The sequence below is a fragment of the Homo sapiens genome, chromosome 13, assembly GCF_000001405.40.
Source record: "Homo sapiens chromosome 13, GRCh38.p14 Primary Assembly".
NCBI classification, from domain to species: Eukaryota; Metazoa; Chordata; class Mammalia; order Primates; family Hominidae; genus Homo; species Homo sapiens.
In genome coordinates, this window is record NC_000013.11 from 101,031,133 (window position 1) to 101,057,624 (window position 26,492).

At 42.3% G+C, this 26,492-nt stretch overlaps 1 protein-coding gene and 1 long non-coding RNA gene across 11 annotated transcripts in view, besides 2 other annotated features; one reads left to right on the forward strand and one right to left on the reverse strand.

The window, feature by feature from the left end:
- The window catches only part of NALCN-AS1 (NALCN antisense RNA 1), a 350,962-nt gene that overhangs the window by 322,808 nt on the left and 1,662 nt on the right, over positions 1-26,492 (forward strand). Inside the window, exons 5-7 of the long non-coding RNA NR_047687.1 lie at positions 18,148-18,233; positions 24,025-24,314; positions 25,818-26,300. This is a non-coding gene — a long non-coding RNA (NALCN antisense RNA 1). The remainder of the gene's footprint in view (positions 1-18,147; positions 18,234-24,024; positions 24,315-25,817; positions 26,301-26,492) is intronic.
- Positions 15,391-15,892: an enhancer, noted in NCBI's record as "H3K27ac hESC enhancer chr13:101698875-101699376 (GRCh37/hg19 assembly coordinates)". NCBI's record gives its function as "activates a minimal SCP1, AML or CMV promoter by ChIP-STARR-seq in primed H9 embryonic stem cells {active_cell/tissue: H9 hESC(primed)}" and the evidence as "EXISTENCE:reporter gene assay evidence [ECO:0000049][PMID:30033119]".
- Positions 17,657-18,856: an enhancer, noted in NCBI's record as "BRD4-independent group 4 enhancer chr13:101701141-101702340 (GRCh37/hg19 assembly coordinates)". NCBI's record gives its function as "activates an origin of replication core promoter dependent on BRD2, P300/CBP, MED14 and CDK7 cofactors, and independent of BRD4, by STARR-seq in HCT116 cells {active_cell/tissue: HCT116}" and the evidence as "EXISTENCE:reporter gene assay evidence [ECO:0000049][PMID:35650434]".
- The window catches only part of NALCN (sodium leak channel, non-selective), a 363,404-nt gene continuing 359,555 nt past the window's right edge, over positions 22,644-26,492 (reverse strand). For all 10 annotated transcript variants that reach the window (XM_011521069.3, XM_011521067.3, XM_024449336.2 and 7 more), the window contains one exon: positions 22,644-24,356. In XM_011521069.3, coding sequence (XP_011519371.1) covers positions 24,163-24,356 — 194 coding nt within the window. In that variant the 3' untranslated portion in view covers positions 22,644-24,162. The remainder of the gene's footprint in view (positions 24,357-26,492) is intronic.

A 26,492-nucleotide genomic window follows, 5' to 3' on the forward strand; every position in this document is an offset into this window, starting at 1 on the left:
AGGTTTTGGTATGTTGTTTCCATTAACATCTGTTTCAAGACATTTTTCAATTTCCCTCTTAATTTCTCCATTGATCCACTAGTCATTCAGGAGCATATTGCTTAATTTCCATGTGTTTGTGTACTTCCCAAAATTCCTCATGTTATTGATTTCTAGTTTTATTCCATTGTGGTCAGAGAAGATGCTTGGAATTATTTTAATTTTTTGAATGTTTTAAGATTTGTTTTTCACCTAATGTATGGTCTACGCTTGAGAATGATCCTTGCACTGAGGAAAAGAATGTATATTCTGCAGCCATTGGATGAAATGTTCTATAAATATCTATTAGATCCATTTGGCCTATAGTGAAGATTAAGTCGGATGATTCTTGGTTGATTTTCTGTCTAAAAGATCTGTCCAATGCTGAAAGTGGGGTGTTGAAGTCTCCAGCTATTCTCGTATTAGAGTCTATCTTTCTCTTTAGCTCTGACATTTGCCTTATACATCTGGATGCTCCAGTGTTGGGGACATATATATCTAAAATTGTTATTCATATATTATCTTGCTGAATTGGCCCTTTAATCATTATATAGTGACCTTGTTTGTCATTTCTTATAGATTTTGTCTCAAAAATCTATTTTGTCTGAAAATATAGTGACTCCTGCTTATATCAGACAAATTTGATATTTTTCCATCCCTTTATTTTCAGTCTGTGTGTGTCTTTATAGGTGGTGTGTTTCCTATAGGCAAGATATCAGCAGGTCTTGCTTTTTTCATTCATTTAGCCAGGCTATGCCTTTTAATTTGGGAGTTTAGTCCATTTATATTCAATGTTATTATTGATAAGTAAAGACTTCCTCCTGCCATTTTGTTATTGTTTTCTGGTTGTTTTGTGGTCTTCTCTTCCTTCTCTCTTTTTCTTCCTGTATTCAATTAACTGAAGGTGATTTTCTCTGGTGATATGATTTAGTTTCTTGCTTTTCCTTTTTTGTGTATCCATTGTATGTTTTTTGGTTTGAAGTTACCATGAGGCCTGCAAATACTAGCTTATAACCCGTGATTGTAACCCAATAGCAACTTAACCACTGTTTGCATAAATAAACAAGCAAAAAGATAACTAATAAACACTCTACACATTTTTTTTTTTTTTTGAGACAGTGTCTTTGCTCTGTTGCCCAGGCTGGAGTGCAGTGGTGCAATCTCAGCTCACGGCTCTTTCTGCCTCCATATTCAAGTGATTCTCATACTTCAGTCTCCCAAGTAGTGGAGATTATAGTCATGTGCCAGCATGCCCAGCTGATTTTTGTGTTTTTAGTAGAGATGGGGTTTCACCATATTGGCCAGTCTGGTCTCGAACTCCTGACCTCAAGTGATCCGCCTGCCTCAGCCTCCCAAAGTGCTGGGTTTATAGGCATAAGCCACAATACCTGGCCAACATTCTACATCTTAACTTCATCCCCCCACTTTTTAACGTTTTGTTTTATCTATTTACATTTTCTTATACTGTCTATGTCTTGAAAAGTTGTTCTAGTTACTATTTTTGACTGGTTCATCATTTAGTCTTTCTACTTAGAATAAAAGTAGTTTACACACCACAGTTACAGTGTTGTAATAGTCTGTGTTTGTATACTTACCATTAACAGTGAGTTTTGTATCTTCAGGTGATTACTTATTGTTCATTAACACCCTTTTCTTTCTGATTGAAGTACTCCCTTTAGCATTTCTTGTAGGACAGGTCTAGTGTTGATGAAATCCTCAGCTTTTGTTTGTCTGGGAAAGTCTTTATTTCTCTTTCATGTTTGAGGGGTATTTTTTGCCAGATATACTGTTCTGGGGTGTACATTTTCTTCTTTCAGCACTTTAAATATGTCATGCTACTCTCTCCTGGCCTGTAAGATTTCCATTGAAAAGTCTGCTGCCAGAAGCATTGGTGCTTCGTTGTATGTTAATTGTTCCTTTTCTCTTGTTGCTTTTAGGATCCTTTATCCTTGATCTTTATCCTGAATTTGATTATTAAATGCCTTGAAGTGGTCTTCTTCGGGTTAAATCTGCTTGGTGTTCTATAACTTTCTTGTACTTGGATATTGATATCTCTCTCTAGGTTTGGGAAATTCTCTGATATCCCTTTAAATAAACTTTCTGCCCCTATGTCTTTCTCTGCCTCTTCTTTAAGGTCAATAACTCTCAGATGTTCCCTTTTGAGGCTATTTTATAAATCCTGTAGGTGTGCTTAATTGTATTTTATTCTTTTTTCTTTTGTCTCCTCTGGCTGTGTATTTTCAAACAGCCTATCTTCAGGCTCACTAATTCTTTCTTCTGCTTGATCAGTTCTGCTATTAAAAGACTCTGATGCATTCTTCAGTATGCCAGTTGCATTTTTCAGCTCCAGAATTTCTGCTTGATTCTTTTTAATTACTTCAGTCTCTGTTAAATTTCCCTGATAGAATTCTGAATTCCTTCTCTGTGTTATCTTGAATTTCTTTGAGTTTCCTCAATATAGCTATTTTGAATTCTCTGTCTAAAAGGTCACATATCTCTGTTTCATTAGGATTGGTCCCTGGTGCCTTATTTAGTTCATTTGATAAGGTCATGATTTCCTGGATGGTGCTGATGCTAGATGTTCTTCGGTGTCTGGGCATTGAAGAGTTAGGTATTTATTGTTGTCTTCACTGTCTGGGCTTGTTTGTACCCATCCTTCTTGGGAAGGCTCCAGATACTTAAAGAACTAGCGTGTTGTGATATAAGCTGTATCTGCTTTAGGGGGCACCCAAGCCCAGTAACACTGTGGTTCTTGCAGACTAGCAGAGATATACCATCTGGTATCTCTTGGTATTGATGGTCGTGGACAAGATCGAGGAGAATTCTCTAGATTACCAGGCAGAGACTCTTGTTCTCTTCCCTTACTTCCTCCCAAACAAACAGGGTCTCTCTATCTCTGTTCTGAGCCACCTAAAGCTGGAGGTGAAGTGACACAAGCACCCCTGTGGCTACCATCATTATGACGGCACTTGGTTGAACTGAAGCCAGCACAGCACTGGGTCTCACCCAAGGTCTGCTGTAACCTCTCTCTGGCCACTGCCTATGTTCACTCAAGGCCCTTGGGCTTTAGAGTAAGCAGATGGCAAAGCCAACCAGGCCTTTGTCTTTTCCTTCAGGGCAGCAAGTTTGCCCAGGCCCCTGGAGGGTCTAGAGGTGCCATCTGGGAGTCAGGGACTACAGTCAAAAACCTTAGAAGTCTACTTGGTGTTCTACTGTATTGCAGCTGAGCTGGCACTCAAACCACAAGACACAGTCCTTCCTGCTCTTCCTTCCCCTTTCCAAAGGCAAAGGAGCCTCACCCTGAAGTCCCTGCCACCACAGGTCACAGGGAGTACTGCCAGACTACTGCCGATGATCCCTTAAGACCCAAGAGCTCTTCAGTCAGCTTGTGGTGAATGCTGCCTGGCCTGGGACTCACCCTTCAGGGTAGTGGGCTCCCTTCTGGACACAGGCAGGTCCAGAAATGCCATCCAAGAGTCAAGTTCTGGAATAAGGGACCCCAGGAGCCCACTTGGTGCTCTACCCTTCTGTGGCCAAACCAGCACCTAAGGTGAAGGACAAAGTCCCCTTTACTTTTCCTTCTGCTTTTCTCAAGCAGAAGGACTCTCTTACTAGAGCTACCATAGCTGGGAATGTGCCGAGTCTCACCTGAAGCCAGCAAGTCTCAGAGGCTCACCAAGGCCCTCAACATAGTTCCTGGGTATTGCTGCTGTTTATTCAGGGCCCACGGGCTCTTCAGTTAGAAGGTGTTGAGTGCTGGCAGGACTGAGTTCTTCCCTTCAAGACAGCAGGTTCCCTTCTGGCCCGGGATGTGTCTAGAAATGTCATCCAGGCGCCAGGTCCTGGATCAAAGCCCTCACAACTGTGACTGGTATCCTATCCTGCTGTGGCTTAGCCGGTATCCAAGATACAAGACAAAGTCCTCCCCACCCTTCCCTCTCCTCTCCTCAAGCAGAAGGAAGGGGTCTCTTTTGGAGCCACAAGCTGTGCAGCCTGGGGTTAGGGGAGGGGCGATGCCAGTACTCCCTTGTCTTCCCCAGCTTGTGTCTCAGTATGTCGCCCATCCCCAGTCCACTGTCTCTGGGCCTGGTTCAGCAGTAGCTCTTGCCTAAGAGTTGCAGTTCCTGTGGCCTAGACTGCTTTTCAAGTTTACTTGGAGATACAGAGCGCTGTAGCCCTCAGTGGTGAGGTTTGCAGAAACTCAAGTTTGCACGGCTGGGATCTGTGATCCTTTCTGGCTAGGGCTGGTTTAAATGTTCCCTCTGTGGGTGAGAGTGAGCTGAGTTAGGTCCTTTCGGTTTTCCTTTCTGCTCTAACAGGACAGCACTGAGTTCAGTGCTTCACAATTGCTGTGCTCTCCCTCCTCTAGTGCCTAGAGATGCTCTCCACACCACATCACAACGGTTTTTCCTGCCTCTGAAGTTAAAACCAGGTACTATGAGGGCTCACCTGATTTTTGGTTCTGATGAAGGTTGTGTGTGTGTGTGTGTGTGTGTGTGTGTGTGTGTGTGTGTGTGTAAATTGGTGTCCTTGAAGGGAGGATGATGGGTGGAGTCTTCTATTTTGCCATCTTGCTCCACCTCCACCTCACCTGAGGCCTTTTACCTCTCTCTGAGGACCCGCCTAATGCGTAATGCTGGTAACAGGTATTCATTTGGGAGAAGGTGTTGCAGTGATCTTCCCTTTTGCATAAGAATTTTGGAGGGGTCCTGAGATACTTTAATTAATTGAAGAATAATCCCAAATGTTCTCCAGGAAAGTTTATGTTGTTTTGTTTATGCTGGTGGTTTACCTTAACCCAGAAAAGTTGCTGTGATCCAAAAAGGAGCAAGTTAAAGGGAGGAATGAAACAGGAATTCAGGATGAAAAAATGAGAAATCTTTCCAATGGTTGTTGTTTTGTTTATGATGAATGCCACGGATATCAGACATTCTTATGCAGAAGTGAGTTTAAAAGATCCAAAGCATTTCCACCGTTTTCTGTTTAAAGAGCAGCAACAAGAATCACACATGTTCCAACATGCAGTTTAGAGAGGCTAGAGGCACAGATATGGACAGACGTCCCTGCTCCTAACAGCTCTCTAAGGTCTGGTGGAGGATTCAGACACATGACCTGGCCTGGAGGATTGAGCTTCTGGATTGTCTGTAAGCTAGGCAATCCACTATTTAGTCTTTAGTACTGTAATAGAGGTCTCAGTAAGTGTGTACCTTGTTTGCCTACTTTATATATTTTTATTTTGTGCGATACCAAATATTGTGGAAGGATTTCAGGTAGGAATTTTGAGTGTTGTTTTTGCATCAATTTATAAAGATGACGGTCTCTGAGCTTTGCAGGCAGTATGTCTATACCGTGTTGATTCATGTGCCTGGCTACAGGTCACCACACACTATACACTCTTGAGTTTGCTCTGGAGAAATCTCAATGAGCCACCTGCAACATAACCTGCTTTGTGGCTGGGTTCCTTAAAATCCAATATATTCTGAAGGATGTGATCAATAAGCAGATGGCTCAAGCCCATACACATGCCAAGAAATGAGGCATCTAATTAACAGTTAGACAAGGGTGTGAGGGAATTGCAGAGGGGTGTGGAGGCCCTGCCTGGGCTGGGAGACCTCGGGATGGGAGAATCAGGGCTGGTTGTGTGACGTGTCGACACATAGTGGCTGTTGGAAGTGTGAACACAGTCGGGACCTTCAGGCTGTGCTCATTAGGGCTTTGCAAAATTCCCAATTATCTCTTGACCTGGCCCTAAGCAAGGCCCCTTTCCATTGCCCTGGAAAAAAAAAATGAGTGAGTCAAAAAGGACACCTGATTTGACACGCTACATGGGTTTGGTTCTGAAGCTAGGCTAGTAGAACACAGAAATGAGGCATTCTTGTGCAACCAGTGATGACTACAGGAAGGATAAGTACCAGGAGCATCCGGTGTCACAGAGGCAAGGGCGGGCTTTTTGAGATGGCTGTATGGTGCCCCAAACAAAGGCCAGAAAGAGACGATTTGTGAGAAGAGACCAACGCGCCCCTTGCAAAGAATTCATAAGCAGTGTTTCAGTTAAACTGCAAATCTCATGGATGGTGTCAAAAGAGTGAGGACTCCTTTCCGTACACGTCTCACAGCTCAAACAGGAACAGAAAGAGGCTTTCTCTCTGTGTCTTGGAGAACCCACCACTAAGTGCTCCCTGGTGTCAGAGAAGGGAATTGGGCTCAGTGTGACAGCTTTCCCTGCTATATGTGAAATACATTATCAATCTGTTGTCAGCCTGATGCTCCCTAGCTGACTGTTTTGTTGTTGCGCTTCCAGTGTTACCCTGGGTTGGTCCCTGCGTGATGTTTCTAATATAAAATATGCAGATTGTGAAAGAGAAGACAATGCTTCGAGTCTGATCTATCCTAAGATGAATGTGCTAATGCTCCCAAGACCCATAAGACAGAGGAGGTCAAGAAGGTGCCTTGTGGTAGGCGATGCATCTTCAAATTCGTTGACACAGGCTCGTGAATTCAGATTAGCACTTGACCACAAATACACATGTTAAAACAAAGTCACATTAAACATCTCTCTTCCTCAATCTCCTTTCCCAGCTTCCTTGCAGAGAAGAAATGCAAGAAGGTGAGTGAATAAAATCAGAATTATTTGCTTTTTATTCTGAGGACAAAAGACAACTGGTTGGATTCCATGGGCACACAGTGATCTAAGGTTATAGTAACCAACAACTATGACTAAGAAAGTGATAGTCATTGTGATAGTTAATTTTACATGTCCATTTGGCTAGGCTATGGTGCCCAATTGTTTTATCAAATGCTAGCTGGATGTTGCTGTGAAGGTGATTAACATTTAAATCCATAAGCTTTGAGTAAAGTTGATTACCGTCCATAATGTGAGTGGCCCTCATCCAGTTAGCTGAAGGACTTACGAGAATGATTGAGGTTTCTGGAAGAAGAAATTCTGCCTCAAGACTTTTAACATAGAGACTCTCAGCCTGCAGATTTTGGACTCAAGACTGCAACATCATCTTGTGCCTGAAATTCCAGTAGGCTGCCTTGCCCTACAGATTTTGGACTTGTCATCATCCCCCATAATGACATGAGTCAATTCCTTAACATAAATCTCTCCTATATATCCTACTGGCTCTGTTTTTCTGGATAACCCTGATTAACACAATCATTCTGTCTATTGTAGATGATCTGTCCTCCTTGACCACACTCATTGGCCAACACTAGCCTTATTACCTGCAAACATGAGATAGCATGATCTATTGCCCAGAAAAGAGGATAGAATAGAGGCTATTTTTTTCCTCCCATCTCCCTGTTCCCCTGTCCTCTATCCTTATCTTAATCTTTCCAACCTACTATTATGCTCCAAGAGTGTTACCTACTTTTATTATTTTCTGTCTTCAAAGTTAAAGAGTGCCTGAAAGTATGCAGATAATTCAAACAAAAAAGCAACACTTCCCTGTGTAATTATTCGCTCAACTCTTTGCCTTGGTGTAATTTATGTGCTCAACACTTTTCCTTGGAATCTTAGCTAAAGAAGACTTTTCTGGGGACTGGGCGTGGTGGCTGAAGCCTGTAATCCCAGCACTTTGGGAGGCCGAGGTGGGCGGATCACGAGGTCAGGAGATCAAGACCATCCTGGCTAACACGGTGAAACCCCATCTCTACTAAAAATACAAAAAAATTAGCCAGGTGTGGTGGCGGACACCTGTAGTCCCAGCTATTCAGGAGGCTGAGGCAGGAGAATGGCGTGAACCCAGGAGGCAGAACTTGCAGTGAGCCAAGATCGCATCATTGCACTCCAGCCTGGGCGACAGAGCAAGACTCTGTCTCAAAAAAAAAAAAAAAAAGAACACTTCTGGAAACTGTTTTTCCTGGCAGTCCTTGGTCAAGTTGCTAATTTAATATTTTAGATGGTTTTGACATGGTTTAGAATGCAAAATTATCATCTTTTAATATGTATTTGTTTGCAGAGAACCCATGGGCCTTAGTTCATTTCTGCACCCACAGAGAGGTTTAATCTCATTTAAATGCTAAACATCGCAGTGGTCAGGCATTAGGAACACTGCTAGGAAGGCTGCAACAAAACAAGTGTTTCCACTTAGTGTTATTTGGGGGTTACCATCCACATCATACAGGAAATGGAGTGACAAATACCAATTTGAGAAAGGAACACAATGAAACTACATAATTCCTCTTGTAGGTTAGTTGATCTGTAACCAAGCCTTAAAAATTGACATTGACATTGAACCACTGCCTGTGAAGGGAGAATGAGAAATAACCTCAAATCTGCCTCTAAATAAACCATCCATAGCTTAATTCAAGAGTTGGGATACCAGCTCTCTAGCATTCAAATGGAATTTAGGTATTTACTAGGCATACTGTGGGGGATTTTTAAGTTGAATGGGTAACATAGAGCATTGGGGCAAAATAATAGAATACGGTTGCTGGTTTCAATGACAGCATGGGTCTTTTCCACCAAGAGACTACAGTACAAAATTTAAATCAGGTAAACTGGTCCAATGTAGAAAGCAGGCAGTCAGGGAAGCATAGTTTAAGGGTGGCATTGAAATAGTTTTGCCACTTCAATTTGGTCACTAGCTTTTGGGATCAGAGTATAGTGTCAATGAAGAGAGTCAAATTCTGTAAAATATTTGAAGAGATTTATTCTGAGCCAAATATGAGTGACCATGGCTCATGACAGCCCTCAGGAGACCCTGAGAACATGTACCCAAGGTAGTTGGGGCACAGCTTGGTTTTATACACTTTAGGGAGACACAAGACATCAATCAAATACATTTAAGATATACATTGGTTCGATTCAGAAAGGTGGTACAACCTGAAGTGGCAGGGGGGTGGTGGCGGGGCAGCTTCCAAGTTATAGGTAGATTTAAACATTTTCTGATTGGCAATTGGTTGAAAGACTTACTATCAATAGAAAGAAATGTCTGAGTTATGATAAAATGTTGCTGAGACCAAAGTTTTATCATGCAGATGAAGCCTCCAGGTAGCAGGCTCTAGAGAGAATAGATTGTAAATATTTCTTATCAGACTTAAGGTCTGTGTTGATGTTACATGCTGGTCAGCTCTTCCTGAATTCCAAAAGGGAGGTGGTATAACGAGGTATGTCTAACCTCTCTAAGAGCTCCCTCTTAGAAACAAACAGACAAAACACACAACAAAAACCACACTTGTAAACCCATCGTCCCATCTCTCCACAGCTTGACTTCTTTTCATAATCCAGATTTGGCTTAGGGATCCAAGAGTCTTGAAAATATTTCCCATGCATTTATTCTGAAATTTGCCAAGGGTAATTTGACTCCTCCCTTTGGGTTTTGTGTTTATGGTGCCTGAGATTTCAAATTTGACATTGTTAATTTTGTTCCCCACCTCCAATCAGCCTTGCCCACCTCAACAAATGTCCACTTCATTCTTTCGGTGGGGGTCACTCTGGACTTTGTTCTTTCTCTCAAATTGTCAGTCAACAACTCTGTCGGCCCTGCCTTTGAAATAAATTCATCTAGGATCCTGCCCCTCTTCACCACTGCCACCACCATGCTGGCTAAAGCCACTGTTATTTCTCGTAGGTTAGGACAACACCTTCTGTCTGGTGTTGCCTCTACTGTCTAGTCTCCACACATAGCCAGAATACTCTTAAAACATACATCAGATACCATCATTTCTTAGCTTGCCATTCTCTAATGATGTCCCACAATTCTTAGAGTAACATCTCAAAATGTGACCATGCCCTGTGTATTAGTCGTCCTCATCCTCCTCCTCCTCCTCCCCTTCTTCTTCTTCTTCTTCTTTATCATCATTAAACTTTAAGTTCTGGGATAGATGTGCAGAATATGCAGGTTTATTACATAGGTATACATGTGCCATGTGGTTTTCTGCACCCGTCAACCCATTGTCTAGGATTTGAGTGCTGCATGCATTAGGTATTTGTCCTAATGCTCTCCCTCCCCTTGTCCCCCATCCCCTGAGAGGCCCCAGTGTGTGATGTTCCCTTCTCTGTGTCCATGTGTTCTCATTGTTCAACTCTCACTTATGAGTGAAAACATGTGGTGTTTGGTTTTCTGTTCCTGTGTTAGTTTGCTGAGAATAATGGTTTCCAGATTCATCCATGTCCCTGCAAAGGACATGAATTCATTCTTTTTTATGGCTGCATAGTATTCCATGGTGTATATGTGCCATATTTTCTATATCCAGTCTATCATTGATGGGCATTTGGGTTGGTTCCAAGCCTTTGCGATTGTGAATAGCACTGCAATAAACATACATGTGCATGTATCTTTACAGTAGAATGATTTATCATCCTTTGGGTGTTTATACCCAGTAATGGGATTGTTGGGTCAAATGGTATTTCTGGTTCTAGATCTTGAGGAATCGCCACACTGTCTTCCACAATGGCTGAACTAATTTACACTGACACAGTGTAAAAGCTTTCCTATTTCTCGACATCCTCTCCAGCATCTGTTGTTTCCTGACTTTTTAATATTTGCCATTCTAACTGGCATGAGATGGTATCTCACTGCGGTTTTGATTTGCATTTCTCTAACGACCAGTGATGAGCTTTTTTTTTCATGTTTGTAGGCTGCATAAATGCCTTCTTTAGAGAAGTGTCTGTTCATATCCTTCACCCACTTTTTGATGGGGTTGTTTTTTTCTTGTAAATTTGTTTAAGTTCCTTGTAGATTCTGGATGTTAGACCTTTGTCAGATGGAGAGATTGCAAAAAATTTCTCCCATTCTGTAGGTTGCCTGTTCACTCTGATGATAGTTTCTTTTACTATGCAGAAGCTCCTTAGTTTAAGTAGATCCCATCTGTCAATTTTGGCTTTTGTTGCCATTGCTTTTGGTGTTTTTGTCATGAAGTCTTTGCCCATGCCTATGTCCTGAGGGGTATTGCCTAGGTTTTCTTCTAGGGTTTTTATGGTTTTAGGTTTTATGTTTAAATCTTTAGGCAATCTTGTGTTAATTTTTGTATAAGGTGTAAGGAAGGGGTCCAGTTTCAGTTTTCTGCATATGCTTAGCCAGTGTCCCCAGCACCACTTATTAAATAGGGAATCCTCTCCCCATTGCTTATTTTTGTCAGGTTTGTTGAAGATCAGATGGTTGTAGATGTGTGGTGTTATTTCTGTGGCCTTTGTTCTGTTCCATTGGTCTATATATCTGTTTTGGTACCAGTACCATGCTGTTTTGGTTGCTGTAGCCTTGTAGTATAGTTTGAAGCCAGGGAGTGTGATGCCTCCAGCTTTGTTCTTTTTGCTTAGGATTGTCATGGCTATACAGGCTCTTTTCTGGTTCCACATAAAATTTAAAGTAGTTTTTTCTAGTTCTGTGAAGAAAATCAATGGTAGCTTGATGGGAATAGCACTGAATCTATAAATTACTTTGGGCAGTATGGCCATTTTCACAATATCGATTCTTCCTATCCATGAGGATGGAATGTTTTTCCATTTGTTTGTGTCCTCTCTTATTTCCTTGAGCAGTGGTTTGTAGTTCTTGAAGAGGTTCTTCGCGTCCCTTGTAAGTTGTATTCCTAGGTATTTTATTTCCTTTGTAGCAATTGTGAATGAGAGTTCACTCATGATTTGGCTCTCTTTTCATCTGTTATTGGTGTTTAGGAATGCTTGTGGGTTTTGCACATTGATTTTGTATCCTGAGACTTTGCTGAAGGTTCTTATCAGCTTAAGGAGATTTTGGGCAGAGATGATGGGGTTTTCTAAATATATAATCACATCATCTGGAAATAGACAATTTGACTTCCCCTCTTCCTATCTGAATACTCTTTCTTTCTCTTGCCTGATTGCCCTAGCCAGAACTTCCAATACTATGTTGAATAGGAGTGGTGAGAGAGGGCATCCTTGTCTTGTGCCAGTTTTCAAAGGGAATGCTTCCAGCTTTTGCCCATTCAGTATGATATTGGCTGTGGGTTTGTCATAAATAGGCCTCATTATTTTGACATATGTTCCATAAATCCCTAGTTTATTGAGTGTTTTTAGCATGAAGGGATGTTGAATTTTATTGAAGGCCTTTTCTGCATCTATTGAGATAATCATGTGGTTTTTGTCATTGGTTCTGTTTATGTGATGGATTATGTTTATTGATTTGCATATGTTTGAACCAGCTTTGTATCCCAGGGATGAAGCCGACTTGATCGTGGTGGATAAGCCTTTTGATGTGCTCTTGGATTCGCTTTGCCAGTATTTTATTGAGGATTTTCGCAGCGATGTTCATCAGGGATATTGGCTTGAAATTTTATTTTTTTGTTGTGTCTCTGCTAGGTTTTGGTATCAGGATGATGCTGGCCTTATAAAATTAGGGAGGATTCCCTCTTTTCCTATTGTTTGGAGTAGCTTCAGGAGGAATGGAACCAACTCCTCTTTGTACCTCTGGTAGAATTTGGCTGTGAATCCATCTGGTCCTGGGCTTTTTTTGGTTCGTAGGCTATTAATTACTGCCTCAATTTCAGAACTTGTTATTAGTGTATATGGGGATTCAACTTCTTCCTGGGTTAGTCTTGGGAGGGTGTATGTATCCAAGAATTTATCCATTTCTTCTACATTTTCTAGTTTACTTGCATAGAGGTTTTCATAGCAGTCTCTGATGGTAGTTTTTATTTCTGTGGGATCAGTGGTGATATTCCCTTTATCATTTTTTTATTGTGTCTATTTGATTCTTCTCTCTTTTCTTCTTTATTAGTCTGGCTAGCAGTCTATCTATTTTGTTAATCTTTTCAAAAAACCAGCTCCTGGATTCATTGATTTTTTGAAGGGTTTTTCATGTCTCTGTCTCCTTCAGTTCTGCTGTTAGTGTGTTGGTTTTAGATCTTTCCTGCTTTCTGATGTGGGCATTATAGTGCTATAAATTTCCCTCTTAACACTGCTTTAGCTGTGTCCCACAGATTCTGGCATGTTGTGTCTTTATTCTCATTGGTTTCAAAGAACTTATTTATTTCTGCCTCAATTTTGTTATTTACCCAGTAGTCATTCAGGAGCAGGTTGTTCAGTTTCCATGTAGTTGTGTGGTTTTGAATGAGTTTCTTAATCCTGAGTTCTAATTTGATTGCACTATGGTCTGAGAGACTGTTTGTTACGATTTCCATTCTTTTGCAATTGCTGAGGAGTGTTTTACTTTCAATTACGTGGTCAATTTTAGAATAACTGCTACGTGGTGAAGAGAAGAATGTATATTCTATTGATTTGGGGTAGAGAGTTCTGTAGATGTCTATTAGGTCTGCTTGGTCCAGAGCTGAGTTTAAGTCCTGAATATCCTTGTTAATTTTCTGTCTCATTGTTCTGCCTAATACTGACAGTGGGGTGTTAAAGTCTCCTACTATTATTGTGTTGGAGACTAAGTCTCTTTGTAGGTCTCTAAGAACTTGCTTTATGAATCTGGGTGCTCCCGTACTGGGTACATATATATTTAGGAAAGTTAGCTCTTCTTGTTGCATTGATCCCTTTACCATTATGTAATGCCCTTCTTTGTCTTTTTTTCATCTTTGTTGGTTTAAAGTCTGTTTTATCAGAGACTAGGATTGCAACACCTGCTGTTTTTATTTATTTATTTATTTATTTATTTTTATTTTTTTAGCTTTCCATTTGCTTGGTAACTATTCCTCCATCTCTTTATTTTGAGCGTATGTGTGTCTTTGCATGTGAGTTGGGTCTCCTAAATACAGCACACCAATGGGTCTTGACTCTATCCAATTTGCCAGTCTGTGTCTTTTAATTGGGGCATTTAGTCCATTTACTTAAAGGTAATATCATTATGTGTGAATTTGTTCCTGTCATCATGACGCTAGCTGTTTATTTTGCACATTAGTTGATGCAGTTTCTTCATAGTGTCAATGGTCTTTACATTTCGGTTTGTTTTTGCAGTGGCTGGTACCAGTTTTTTCTTTCCATGTTTAGTGCTTCCTTCAGGAACTCTTGTAAGGCAGGCCTGGTGTTGACAAAATCCCTCAGCATTTGCTTGTCTATAAAGGATTTTTTTCTCCTTAACTTATGAAGCTTAGTTTGGCTGGATATAAAATTATGGGTCGAAAATTCTTTTCTTTAAGAATGTTGAATATTGGCCCCCACTCTCTTCTGGCTTGTAGGGTTTCTGCAGAGAGATCCACTGTTAGTCTAATGGGCTTCCCTTTGTAGGTAACCTGACCTTTCTCTCTGGCTGTGCTTAACACTTTTTCCTTGTTTTCAACCTTGGAAAATCTGATGATTATGTGTCTTGGGGTTGCTCTTCTCGAGGAGTATCTTTTTGGTGTTCTCTATATTTCCTGAATTTGAATGTTGACCTGTCTTGTTAGGCTGTGGAAGTTCTCTTGGAAAATATCCTGAAGTATGTTTCTTGGAAAATATCCTGAAGTATGTTTGGAAAATATCCTGAAGTATACTTTCCAACTTGGTTCCGTTCTCCCCATCACTTTCAGGTACACTAATCAATCATAGGTCTTTTCACATAGTCCCATATTTCTTGGAGGCTTTATTTGTTCCTTTTCATTCTTTTTTCTCTAATCTTGTCTTCACGCTTTATTTCATTAAGCTGATCTTCAATCTCTGATATCCTTTCTTCTGCTTGATCGATTTGGCTATTGATACTTGTGTATGCCTTACGAAGTTCTCATGCTGTGTTTTTCAGCTCCATCAGATCATTTATGTTCTTCTCTAAACTGCTTATTCTAGTTAGCAATTCCTCTAACCTTTTATCAAGGTTCTTAGCTTCCTTGCATTGGTTTAGAACATGCTCCTTTAGCTCAGTGGAGTTTGATATTACCCACCTTCTGAAGCCTACTTCTGTCGATTTGTCAAACTCATTCTCCATCCAGTTTTGTGCCCTTGCTGGAGAGGAGTTGCAATCATTTGGAGGAGAAGAGGCATTCTGTTTTTTGGAATTTTCAACATTTTTGCACTGTTTTTTCCTCATCTTCGTGGATTTATCTACCTTTGATTTTTGATACTAATGACCTTTGGGTGGGGTTTTTCTGTGGGCATCTTTTTTGTTGATGTTGATGTTATTGCTTTCTGTTTGTTAGTTTTCCTTCTAACAGTCAGGCCCCTCTTCTGCAGGTCTGCTGGAGTTTGCTGGAGGTCCACTCCAGACCCTGTTTGCCTGGGTATCACCAGTGGAGGCTGCAGAACAGCAAATATTGCTGCCTGCTCCTTCCTTTAGTAGCTTCGTCCCAGAGTGGCATCTGCCAGAAGTCAGCTGGAGCTCTTCTGTATGAGGTGTCTGTTGAACCCTGCTGGAAGGTGTCTCCCTGTCAGGAGGCATGAGGGTCAGGGACCCCCTTAAGGAGACAGTCTGTCTCTTAGCAGAGCTTGGACACTGTGCTGGGAGATCCGCTGCTCTCTTCAGAGCTGACAGGCAGAACGTTTAAGTCTGCTGAAGCTGGATCCACAGCCGCCCCTTCCCCCAGGTGCTCTGTCCCAGGCAGATGGGAATTTTACCTATCAGCCCCTGGCTGGGGCTGCTGCCTTTCTTTCAGAGATGCCCTGCCCAGAGAGGAGGAATCTGGAGAGGCAGTCTGGCCCCAGGTACTTTGCCATGCTGCGGTGAGTTCTGCAGTCAGAGTTAACACTGTAAGGGGAAAAGCACCTACTCAAGCCTCAGTAATGGTGGACGCCCCTCCCCCAACAAGCTCAATTGTCCCAGGTTGACTTCATACTGCTGTGCTGGCAGCGAGAATTTCAAGCCAGTGGATTTTAGCTTGCTGGACTTTGTGGGAATGGGACCCGCTGTGCGAGAAGACTTGGCTTCCTGGCTTCAGCCCCCTTTCCAGGGGAGTGAGTGGTTCTGTCTCACTGGGGTTCCAGGCACTGCTGGTGTATGAAAAAAAACTCCTGCAGCTGTTTATCTGCCCAGAGAGTTGCCTAGTTTTGTGCTTGAAACCCAGGGCCCTGGTAGTGTAGGCACACGAGGGAATCTCCTGGTCTGTGGGTGGCAAAAACCATGGAAAAAGCATAGTATCTGGGCTGGATAGCACAGTCCCTCACAGTAGAGTCCCTCAGGGCTTCCCTTGGCTAGGAGAGGGAGGTCCATGACCCCTTGCACTTCCTGGGTGAGGCGATACCCCACCCTGCTTCTGTTCCCCCTCCATGGGCTGCACCCACTGTCTAACCAGTCCCAGTGAGATAAACCGGGCACCTCAGTTGGAAATGCAATAATCACCCACCTTCTGCGTTGGTCTTGCTGGGAGCTGCAGACTGAAGCTGTTCCTATTCAGCCATCTTGCCAACTCTCTTGTATTAGTTTTCTATTGCTGCCATAACGAATAGTCTCCATCTTAGCAGCTAAAAACAACACCCATTTATCAACTCACAGTTCTGCAGGTCAGAGTCTCGTAGGCTTGGCTAGTTTCTCTGTCCTGAGTCTCATCAGATTGACAGCAAGGGGCTGACAAGGCTGTATTCCCTTTTGAAAATTTTGGAGATGGATGTGTGTCTTTGTTCATTCAGGTTATTCACTGAATTCAGTTCCTGTGGTTGTAGCAATGAGATCTCCGTTTCCTTTCTGGCGGTCAGCCCAGGGTAGCCTTTGCTCCTAGATGCTGCTTGCATCCCTCAATCTTTCCAGGTGGCCCCTCCACCCACAGCAGGTAGGGTCCAGGTCCCTCTCTTGCTTTAGATCTTTCCTCCTTACTCTTCTCACTCCAGCCACATTTCTCTCACTCCAGCCAGAGACATTTCTCTAATTTTAGATGGGTTCCACTCCCTGGTTTAAGGTCTGCTATCTTAATTGCATCTGCCAAATCTCATCATAGCAGTACCCAGGTTAATATTTGATTGAATTACTGGGAGATAGGAATAGTGAGGGACTACCACAGCCTAGGAAGTCTTGAATGATATGATTCCTGTGACTTCTCTGACTTCATGTCATCCCTCTTTCCCTTTTAATATCTAGACTCCAAGTCAGTATGGCCTCCTTGCTGTTTTCTCCAATTGACCAAACCTATATCCACTTGAGGGCCTTGACACCTCACATTTCCTCTGCCAGAACACCCTTGCCCGAGGCCTTTCCATGGCCCACTCTCTCACTAAGTTGGATGAGTCCTCTGGGAAGCAGACTCCAAGGCAGTATTAGGAGAGCTCAAGATTTATTGGGGGTAAGGCCTGTGAAAGATAAAGGAGAGAAGGGACAGGAGTGGGAAGGCTGGGCCTTCAGACCACAGTGCAGGTCTGACATCCTTGCAGGGATAGGAGGGGATAGGAGGATTGGATGAAGAGCCTCAGATTTCCATGCATACTGCACTGAGAAAGTGTCAGCCAGCCCAGCAGGGAGCTTTTGCCACAGAGATTGCCTGTGGAAGGGTTCCACGCTGCCCGGGAAATGGCAAGCCTTTGTATCATTGTGCTCCGTCATTGGCTGAGGATTATCCAGGAAGCATGTGACCTCCACTCAAAAGCTGAGGGAGAAACAACCAAATGTCCATCAACAGATGAGTGGATGGACAAAACGTAGTATGCACATTCAGTGGAATATTATCCAGCCATGAAAAGGAATGAAGTATTGACACACACTACCACATGGATGAACATTGAAAACACTGTGCTCAGTGAAATAAAACAGTCACAAAAGGACAAATATTGTATGCTTCTACTTATGGTAAATATTTAGAACAGGTAAATCCATAGAGACAAAATATAGATTAGAAGGTCCAAGGCTTGCAGAAGGAAGAAATGAGGAGTTATCATTTAACGGGTACAGTTTCTGTTTGAGGTGTTAACAATTTTTGAAACTGGATAGTGGTGGTGATAGTTGCACAGAATTGTGAATATAATTAACACCACTTTAAAATCTTAAAAATGGTTGAAGTGGCAAATTTTATGCTAAATACATTTTACTACAGTAAAAAACAAAACAAAACAAAAAAACAGACCGAGGCAGATCCTGAAAGCACCAGCAGCTAGAAGCTGTCAGCAAATAGCACCTTTTGTGGGAAGCACATCTCCATGGCTGCCATGCTCACTGCCTCGGGTCTCTGCCGAAATGGCAACTGAGCAGTGAGTCCCTTAATGACTAAATTACATCCAAGAGGAAGGCCTATCCTTCTCAGTCAAGTTAATTTTTCTCCATTACACTTAAAGCCTTCTGACTTATATATTTACCTGTTTATTTTCTGCTTCCCCAATAGACCATAAACACCATGAGATCAGAGCATCCATCTGTAGACTCACAGAGCAAGAAGCGTGACTGCCCCAATCTTGAATGGATGAGTAAGTAAGTGAACTACCTGATGATTCATTCATCGGACAATAGTCGATCTGAGGCAATTACAGTGTGTCTTGTGTTATTTAGACTTTCCATTGATAAATTACTATAGGCAGAGTTCAGACAGTTCTTCCTAATTAGAGAATAACCTGTCTTTTGGAAAGCTACTTTGTTTTTTTTCCCCCTGTGAATTGAATTCTCAGAGGATCATCACAGGAAAGGAGATCTCTCTGGTGTAACTTTTGTACTGAATCTGCATTGGACGTTGCTGAGCTCTGTCCTGATGGAAGAAGAATGTCCTGAGAATCAGGAAGTGTGCAGCATGTTCAGGCTGGATGTGACTTCTGTTCAGGAATGTAGGGGGTGCAATAAGAAGGTGGCGTGTCAGAAACAAGAGTTGGCACAGATGAAAGGTCTGTTGGAAAGGGTTGGAAGAGAGAGAGCATCTGTGTTTGAAGCCAAGGAGGAAGGAGGGCAGATAGAATGGTTCACGTTGGAGAGAAGAGAGAGACTGAAAGCACTTTTCTGCCTACAGAATTTTTTTTAATAGGAAGCCATGACCTTGAGCATGGTTGGAGAGAAGTCTGGGGACTATTGAGGTGCTTAGATGATATGGAAAATATATGGTGAGACCTGGAACCAGCTAGGTCAGAGATAGGGAGTGAAGAGGTGTCAATGGTGATGGACCATAATTCTATCCAGGAAAAATTAATTGTCATTATTTATGATAAGTCCTCATTCCAGACCATTGTGGTCAGTAGATAAAGGGAGAATGTGTGTCTTTCTAGGGAACTTTTGTTTCTTTTTGCCTTAGTTTTCTTCTTCCAGCACCTCTATTCTTCTTCTTCATCCCATCCCCGCAATAAAATCTGAGCAGTTTGATGCCCACATCTCAAAATGCAACCCTAAAGTCAAAGAGAGAAGGGGTGTTCCATAGGGGGATAGCTGTTAAGAGCAGGTGAGTCTGGAGGGGCCATCCCTCTCCCATCAACTGCAAAACTCTACCTAGTAAACTCCCAACTTGTACATTCCATTCAGCTTGCAAGATCCAGGAGTAGTACCCCCAAGCAATTATAATGTAAAAGATTAACAAGTGGTCCAGGGAAATGAGAATCAAACAAAAAAGGTAAGTTAAATAAAATTTATAATTATAAGGCCTGTGGGAGAAAGCTAGGAGAGAAAGCGTATTCTGGAATTAGGTCCAGAAAATGGTCAGTGTATTTCTGTGGGTCCTGGTTCAAGAAAAGATTAACAAAGGGCAGTGTTGTTTGGAAGAGCAAGTCATTGGTGCAAGATGAATGAGCCCAGTGTGGTGAGGTCCTGCAGCCCCTTTTGTCTGGTAAGTCCCTGTCACATCTCCACCCTCCTTCCATGTCCCATGCTGCTACAGAAGTTCAACTTTGAGGTTGGAGAACTAGAACCACAATTTTCTTGGAAAGCTGGGGTATTGTAAAGATTCACCCTGCATCTGTCTCTCCCTCCTCAATTCCATTTTGCACATTGCTCCCGGCGTGCTCCTCCTAAAGCCTGGTCTTGCATTATTACCATAATCTCCCTCCCTCTCCACCTCCATGGACTCCCCTTTTCTACTGATCACTGTCCACATGAAATGTGGGCATTAAAGGTTCTTTGTGCCCTTGACCAAGTCTCCAGTCTTGCCTTTGCACACCTATTCAGAAGACTTGGGAATTCATTGAATAGAGTCAACTGACGCTCTCCTTGATAATTTTCCTTTTGTTATTCCAGGCATCATTCTGTCTGCTACTTCCCCATCTATGACAATTTAAATCCAAGTATTCCTTCTTTAATGCTTAATTCACATGGCATCACCACCCCAAAAGCCTCCTCTGATCACCACTCCACCTTTCTATGGCAGATTTAACAATTACCTTATATCATGGGGACCCGCACATCTGTCTTGTCTCTCCTACTACAGTTCAAGCAAAAGATCATGTTGGTATGCTCGGCTCTGGCTTCTTCACAAGGCACAGCACAGTATATAGAAGATGCTGAGAAAGCTTTGATGGAAATAAAGAGATCTGTGGCTCAGGTGGAGAAGTAAGACTTGGAGAAGAAGCGAGGTTCTTTATAAGACAGAAAAGAATGGGGAGGGGATGAATGAACATGTACAAAAACACTGAGATAAAAAGAAAAGGGAGGTGGGGAAGTGCACATGAGAAAGCTGTTAGCTTTTTGGGTTGCTAGTTCCCTGGGAGATAGAAACAAGAGCTTGGGAAGCATCATAGAAGAACTACTCAAGGCAGAGGTCAGAAGTGCATACAAATGTATTTCTAGAGGTGTGAAAGGAGATCTTGTGGGCTGGGGGTATCTGGGGTGGACAAGATCAAGCCTGTGGTGTACCTGTGGCTATGTGGGATGAATAAGAAATAGAGGAAGAAGGAGGTGCAATGTTAGAGAGTCCTAAAGTAGAATTGGAAAGGGAGTTAGTAGAAGACAGAGACTAAACTAAAAAACTAAAATGATAAAATGATAAAAAAGCAGACAAACTGGGCAGCTTAAAACAACAGAAATGTATGTTCTCACAGTTCTTCTGGCTAGAAGTCCAGAATCAAGGTGTTGACAGGGGGCCATTCTCCCTTAGAAGCCTCTGGGAGGCGCCTTCCTTGCCTCTTGCAGCTTCTGGTAGCCCAGGTGTCCCTTGGCTCTGGGCAGCATAGCTCCGATGCCTCTGCCTTCACCGTCTCATGGCCATCCTCCCCACATGCCTGTGTCTTCAGAGGATACCAGGTATGTTGGAGTAAGGGATTACCCTCCTCTAGTATGACCTCCTCATAAGTAATTATATCTGCGAAGACCCTATTTCCTAATAAGGTCATATTCACAGGTACTAAGGGTTAGGACTTCAACCTATCCTTCTGGGGGTCACACTTCAACCCATAATAGTGGGTGAGAAGAGACCACATGAGTGCCGTTTTCATCTTCACCTCAACTTCAACGAGGGCTGCCTGGCTTTTGGCTGGTTAAAATTTTGGGATCTGTTGAAGGCCTTAGAAACAGTTCCACTGCTTACTGATATACTGAAAACCACCCATGTATAGAATGCCACTTCCTACAAGGAAACAGGCAAACACATCATTCCACTGGCTTAAAGCTGCTTTCCTGTAAGGCTTTATAACACTGGTTTTTCTTCTGTGTACCCTTATCTCATTCAGCTTGGCCAAGGCACAGCCAGCCAGACACTGCTGATGTATGTTGGTCTGGAAGTACCATTAAGAATAGAGTGGGCCGGGCACGGTGGCTCACGCCTGTAATCCCAGCACTTTGGGAGGCCGAGGCGGGTGGATCACGAGGTCAGGAGATCGAGACCATCCTGGCTAACATGGTGAAACCCCGTCTCTACTAAAAATACAAAAAAATTAGCTGGGCATGGTGGCGGGCACCTGTAGTCCCAGCTAATTGGGAGGCTGAGGCAGGAGAATGGTGTGAACCCGGGAGGTGGAGCTTGCAGTGAGCCGAGATCGTGCCACTGCACTCCAGCCTGGGTGACAGAGCAAGACTCCGTCTCAAAAAAAAAAAAAAAAAAAAAAAAAAAATAGAGTGAATAGCATTGGCCCTTCCATTCTGTCCATCCTTGTTCCCTTTGAGTCTCCTTGAAGTGCCATACAGGTCACACATGTGTGGCCTGCTCTCTCAGGGGCTCTGAGTCAAGTAAGTATTCCACCCCATATGCTTTCTGGTGCCTTTGGAACTGACAGCACCCTCTAATTAAAGGCAGTGGGTGGCGTGATGACAGGATTAGTATCAGTGTCTGGCTTCCCTAAGGACCAGGGAACACTGTGACCCAAGTTTTCCCATCTGTGTAATGGGATTTTTCATATGTTTACATATCTAGGGGTAAAATCTAAATGGGGGTGGTGCTTAATTTCTCTGGCTTGCATATGCTCTACCTGTTTCAGGAAAATCGTAGAGAGGAGTCCTACAGGAAGTGTGTGACTGTTTCGCTTCATTGAAAATATAGGGTGCTATGGCTTTAAATACATTGGTATTCTGCCCCTGGCTTCACTGCAGAATGAACAACAATGATGTTCTGCTGAACATCAATTCCAGACGTTTTAGAAAGGGCTCAGCAGTTTCGTGAGAATGAAGCTGTATTACTCAAGTGTAATGAGCCAAAAACATCTTGTTTTTATGCAGCACTAGTACAGACCCATGCCCTGGACCTGTAAGTGCCTTTTCTGTTCATTGTAGGCTTAGAGGGCACAGGGTATTCACTCAGCCTTATCAGCACAAGTGTGAAAGGAACATTCTGGCTCAGAGAATTGAGTTGAAATGAGTATCAGGGACACAGCTTTTGCCAACTAATTATGGACTGAATATTCAATCCAGGTTTGCAATGTGCTGCTACCGAGTGCCTGCCCCACCAAGAAAAGGGTTTAAAAATGGTCAACTCAGAGTAAATTATTTTACAAATCCAATATTTATTTTATCTTGTATGTACAAAAAGTAAACTCCAAGTGAACATCAAATCAAATCTAATCCTTTTGGCCACATGACTGGTTGTTCTTTATCTCATAGTTACAATGAATCATATAAACTGTAGACTGCCACTACCACGATACTTCTGTGACACAGAAGGAATGTCCTATTTGCCTATCTATCTGAGGAATGTTAAATAGAGAAAAATAGATTATAAAACAACCTGGAGGTCACAGGATTCTGAGATAATCCCTCTGTTAAAAAACATCTGAACAGCAAATGTCCAATCTGTAATAAAATAGTTAAAGGTCCAAGTCAAGTCCACTTCTACTTGGCTGGCCCAGCACAAGAAATCTAACAGCACTTTGTAATCATTTTGCTTTTCTAATTTTCCCGGAGGACATGGGCCATTGACATATAAGGAAAAAAAACAAAAACAAAAAACGATTAAGTAAGTTGTGTGATCCCTAACCTGTGAGTTCAAAGGAAGATTTTGCAGGGCACCATTATTTCCATAGAAGATTCTTTTAACAGAGATGTCATTTCAAATCTAACGTAGCAATGGTGTGTTAGGATCACCCAGAATGAAATGACTCTGCTGATTTATGGCAAAACAGACATACCTTGGGTAAGAAATGAAGCCAATGATAACATCACACATGCAAAGATTTTTTTAAATAAATTGAGCTATATAGTTTTATTCTTTTTGCTAAACTCAGTTATTAAAAGGTTTCTTAAGAAACTTAACATCTTTGCGCAACTATGTCACTCAAGTGATTTATCTACAGGTTTGTTTTAAACCGCTAAGCATCCTGAGTCCATTTCTTTGCCTGGTGCTTGCACACACAATTTTCTTAGAAGGAGGCAACAGTTTCATTAACATAACTGAGGACAGAAATCAACTTGTTCTGGTCACCAAATGTCTTGTGTATATTTAAAAATATAACACGAGAAAAAGAAGATACTTTTTAAAATTCAGAATCTGTAGTTTGTAAAACTACTATCATTTTAGCATAAGTTCAGTGCTGACCTTTTCAGATCAATCATAAATAATAAATTCTCTCAAGAGAAATATTTCTAGTGGAAATGGGAAAGATGTGAACTAAAGCTATAACCCCTGTACCCTAAATATCAGCCACTTTGGGCTTAGCACTCTTTTGCGGGGCGGTGATAATACTGCATTAGAGCACATATGAATATATACCTTAGTTTACGCAGACAGAATATATGACATTTTTAAGTGATATACATTTGCTTGCGGTATCATTTCTAATATTATCAGTACTGTCATTATACAAAAATTTTTTTGAGCAATGATTGATAGTAACCCATCATACATGCAGCTTATGCCTTTCTGTGGCAGGATGAAAATCAATTTATAAACATCTTGTGACAAGCTGGAATTCAGTTATAGATCAATTACAGATTGCTCACTGGACAATCAAGGACATTATTAGAAAACGGTTTCCACCACTAGAAATTCATCTACATTGACATCCACCTAAATATCCAGAAGGTCATCCCCACTTTCGTCGCTCTCCACAGTCAGCTGCCGGGTCCACCACTTCTTAACTTCAGAACCGCAGGAAGCCGCGTCAGTCATGGGGTTCATTTTGCACACGACAGATTTCATGGTTGTCCTTCCTCCAAACCGTAAGTTGACTGAGGACACTGAATGGCTTATTGGTTTTGGGGCTGTGGAATTAATGAGTCCTATGAGCCACTTGGTATTGCTTCACCCTATTGTAATCACTCCTAAAAACCCATGATATTCCCATCAGTGATACTTTTGGCTAACGTGTCCTAGCCACAGATGCTAAGTAAACATCCTTTTCAGGACTTGATTCTTTATGTTCACGATAGATTTTTTTTTTAATTGTGCTCATGGACAACTAATGATGTCATTTGGGAAAAAAACGTGCTGCTCACCCCTTTCATTTTGAAATAATTAAAAAAACTAGAAAATCACTAAAAAAATTCCAATTCGGGAACTATTAAGTGTCACAGAAACCTGTGCATTCATTAGCATATGCAATAAAAAAAACAAAAAGGAAGGAGAGTGTGACCCACAGTAAAGGCGAGGGGGGATGCAGTGAGGGTATGGGAGGAAAGGTGTGGTTCTGGGGCCTCACAGTCATGGTGTTGGGACCCACCTCTGCAACCTGTGGATATGTAGCTATGGGCAACTTCACGTCTCTGAACCCAAGTTTCCTCCATTGTAAGATGAAGACAATGAAAATGTCCTAATTAGACTATTGTCAGGATTAAAACAGGTTACATGAGATGACTTAGGAAAGTGCATAGCATGACACCTGTGACATTGTTGCTGCCCCCTCAAAATACTATTTTTCTTCTCCTCTGCCTCCTCAAACTCAGCCTGACCCCAAGAGCATGTCTATTTCACGATCACCGTTTTTGGTGGGGACCACCTAGGCATGGACCAGTGGAAGTACTTTTTTTTTTTTTTTTTTTTTTTTTTTTTTGGGAGACAGGTTCTCACTCTCTCACCCAGACAGGAGTGCAGCGGCACAATCTTGGTTCACCACAACCTCTGCTTCCCAGGCTCAAGTGATTCTCCTGCCTCAGCCTCCCAAGCAGCTGGGATTACAGGTGCACACCACTACCGGTCAGCTAATTTTTGTATTTTTAGTAGAGACAGGGTTTCACCATGTTGACCAGGCTGGTCTTGAACTCCAGGCCTCAAATGATCCACCTGCCTCGGCCTCCCAAAGTGCTGGGATTACAGGGGTGAGCCACTGCGCCTGGCCCAATGGAAGTACTTTTGACAGCATCATTTCTTTTGTCCATTTAAATGAATACCAAGGACTGTGCATTCTCCCCAGGTCACCTCTCCTATCTGTCCCTGCAGTATCTGGCCCCCAGCTCTGTCCATGCCTTTGTTGCCTTGTGCTCACACCACGGTAACTTCCTCCAGCTTGTAACCTGCCTCCAGGCTCTGTCATAGACAATTCCCTCCTTTGCTGCCAAGTCAACTTCCTAAAGCACAGATTCCAAAAGTCACATACTGCTCAGAAATCTTTGCTAGCTCCTAATTGCCTACAGGATAAAATTGAACCGACTCAGCTTGTAATTTATGACCTGGCACCACCATCTACGTTGTCTTGATGCTGTCATTCTCTGCTGTGTTTGAATCAGGAGGAACCTAGATCTTCTCTGATCTCTGAAAAATAAGTTCCTGGATATGAAAGGGGATACTTTCCTTGGTGGTAGTCCCAGTGAAGACCCACTGAACATCGTCAGCCTCAAAATGTAAGCTGTGCTGTCATCTGCTTTGTGGAACACATATGCTACACATCTTCTCCTTTCAATTGGGCTGAAGTTGGGGCACAGTTAAAGAGCATTATAAAGCTCCTGCTTTAGCATGAACTTAGTTATCTATAGAAAAAAACATGTACAAGGACACTGGGCTGTGGGGAGCATTGCTCTCCCTCCATTCCTGAGTGCTCTTAATGGGATTATCCTGGCTTTCCAAAACCCTATAGAGAAGAAGCTCATAGAAGAAAATTCTCTTACTGAATCAGTAAAATATGGAAAATAATGGGACTGTTTATTAAAGGATTGAATGAGAGAACACAAGTAATGCACTTAGAAGAGTGACTGGCATACAGTGAGTACTACGTAAGTGTTTGTTGTTGTTGTTTGTTATTGTATGGAGGTAAAGCAGCTTGCCTAAAGCCAGTGACCGGCTCAGCTGCAAAGTGTGCTGAGAGAAATCGGGGGCCTGTCCCTTTTTTGAGAACTTCGTGGCATTTTCTGAATGATTGCATCTGCCCACTCCCTCTTCAGTTGAATACTTTTGCCCATGTTTGA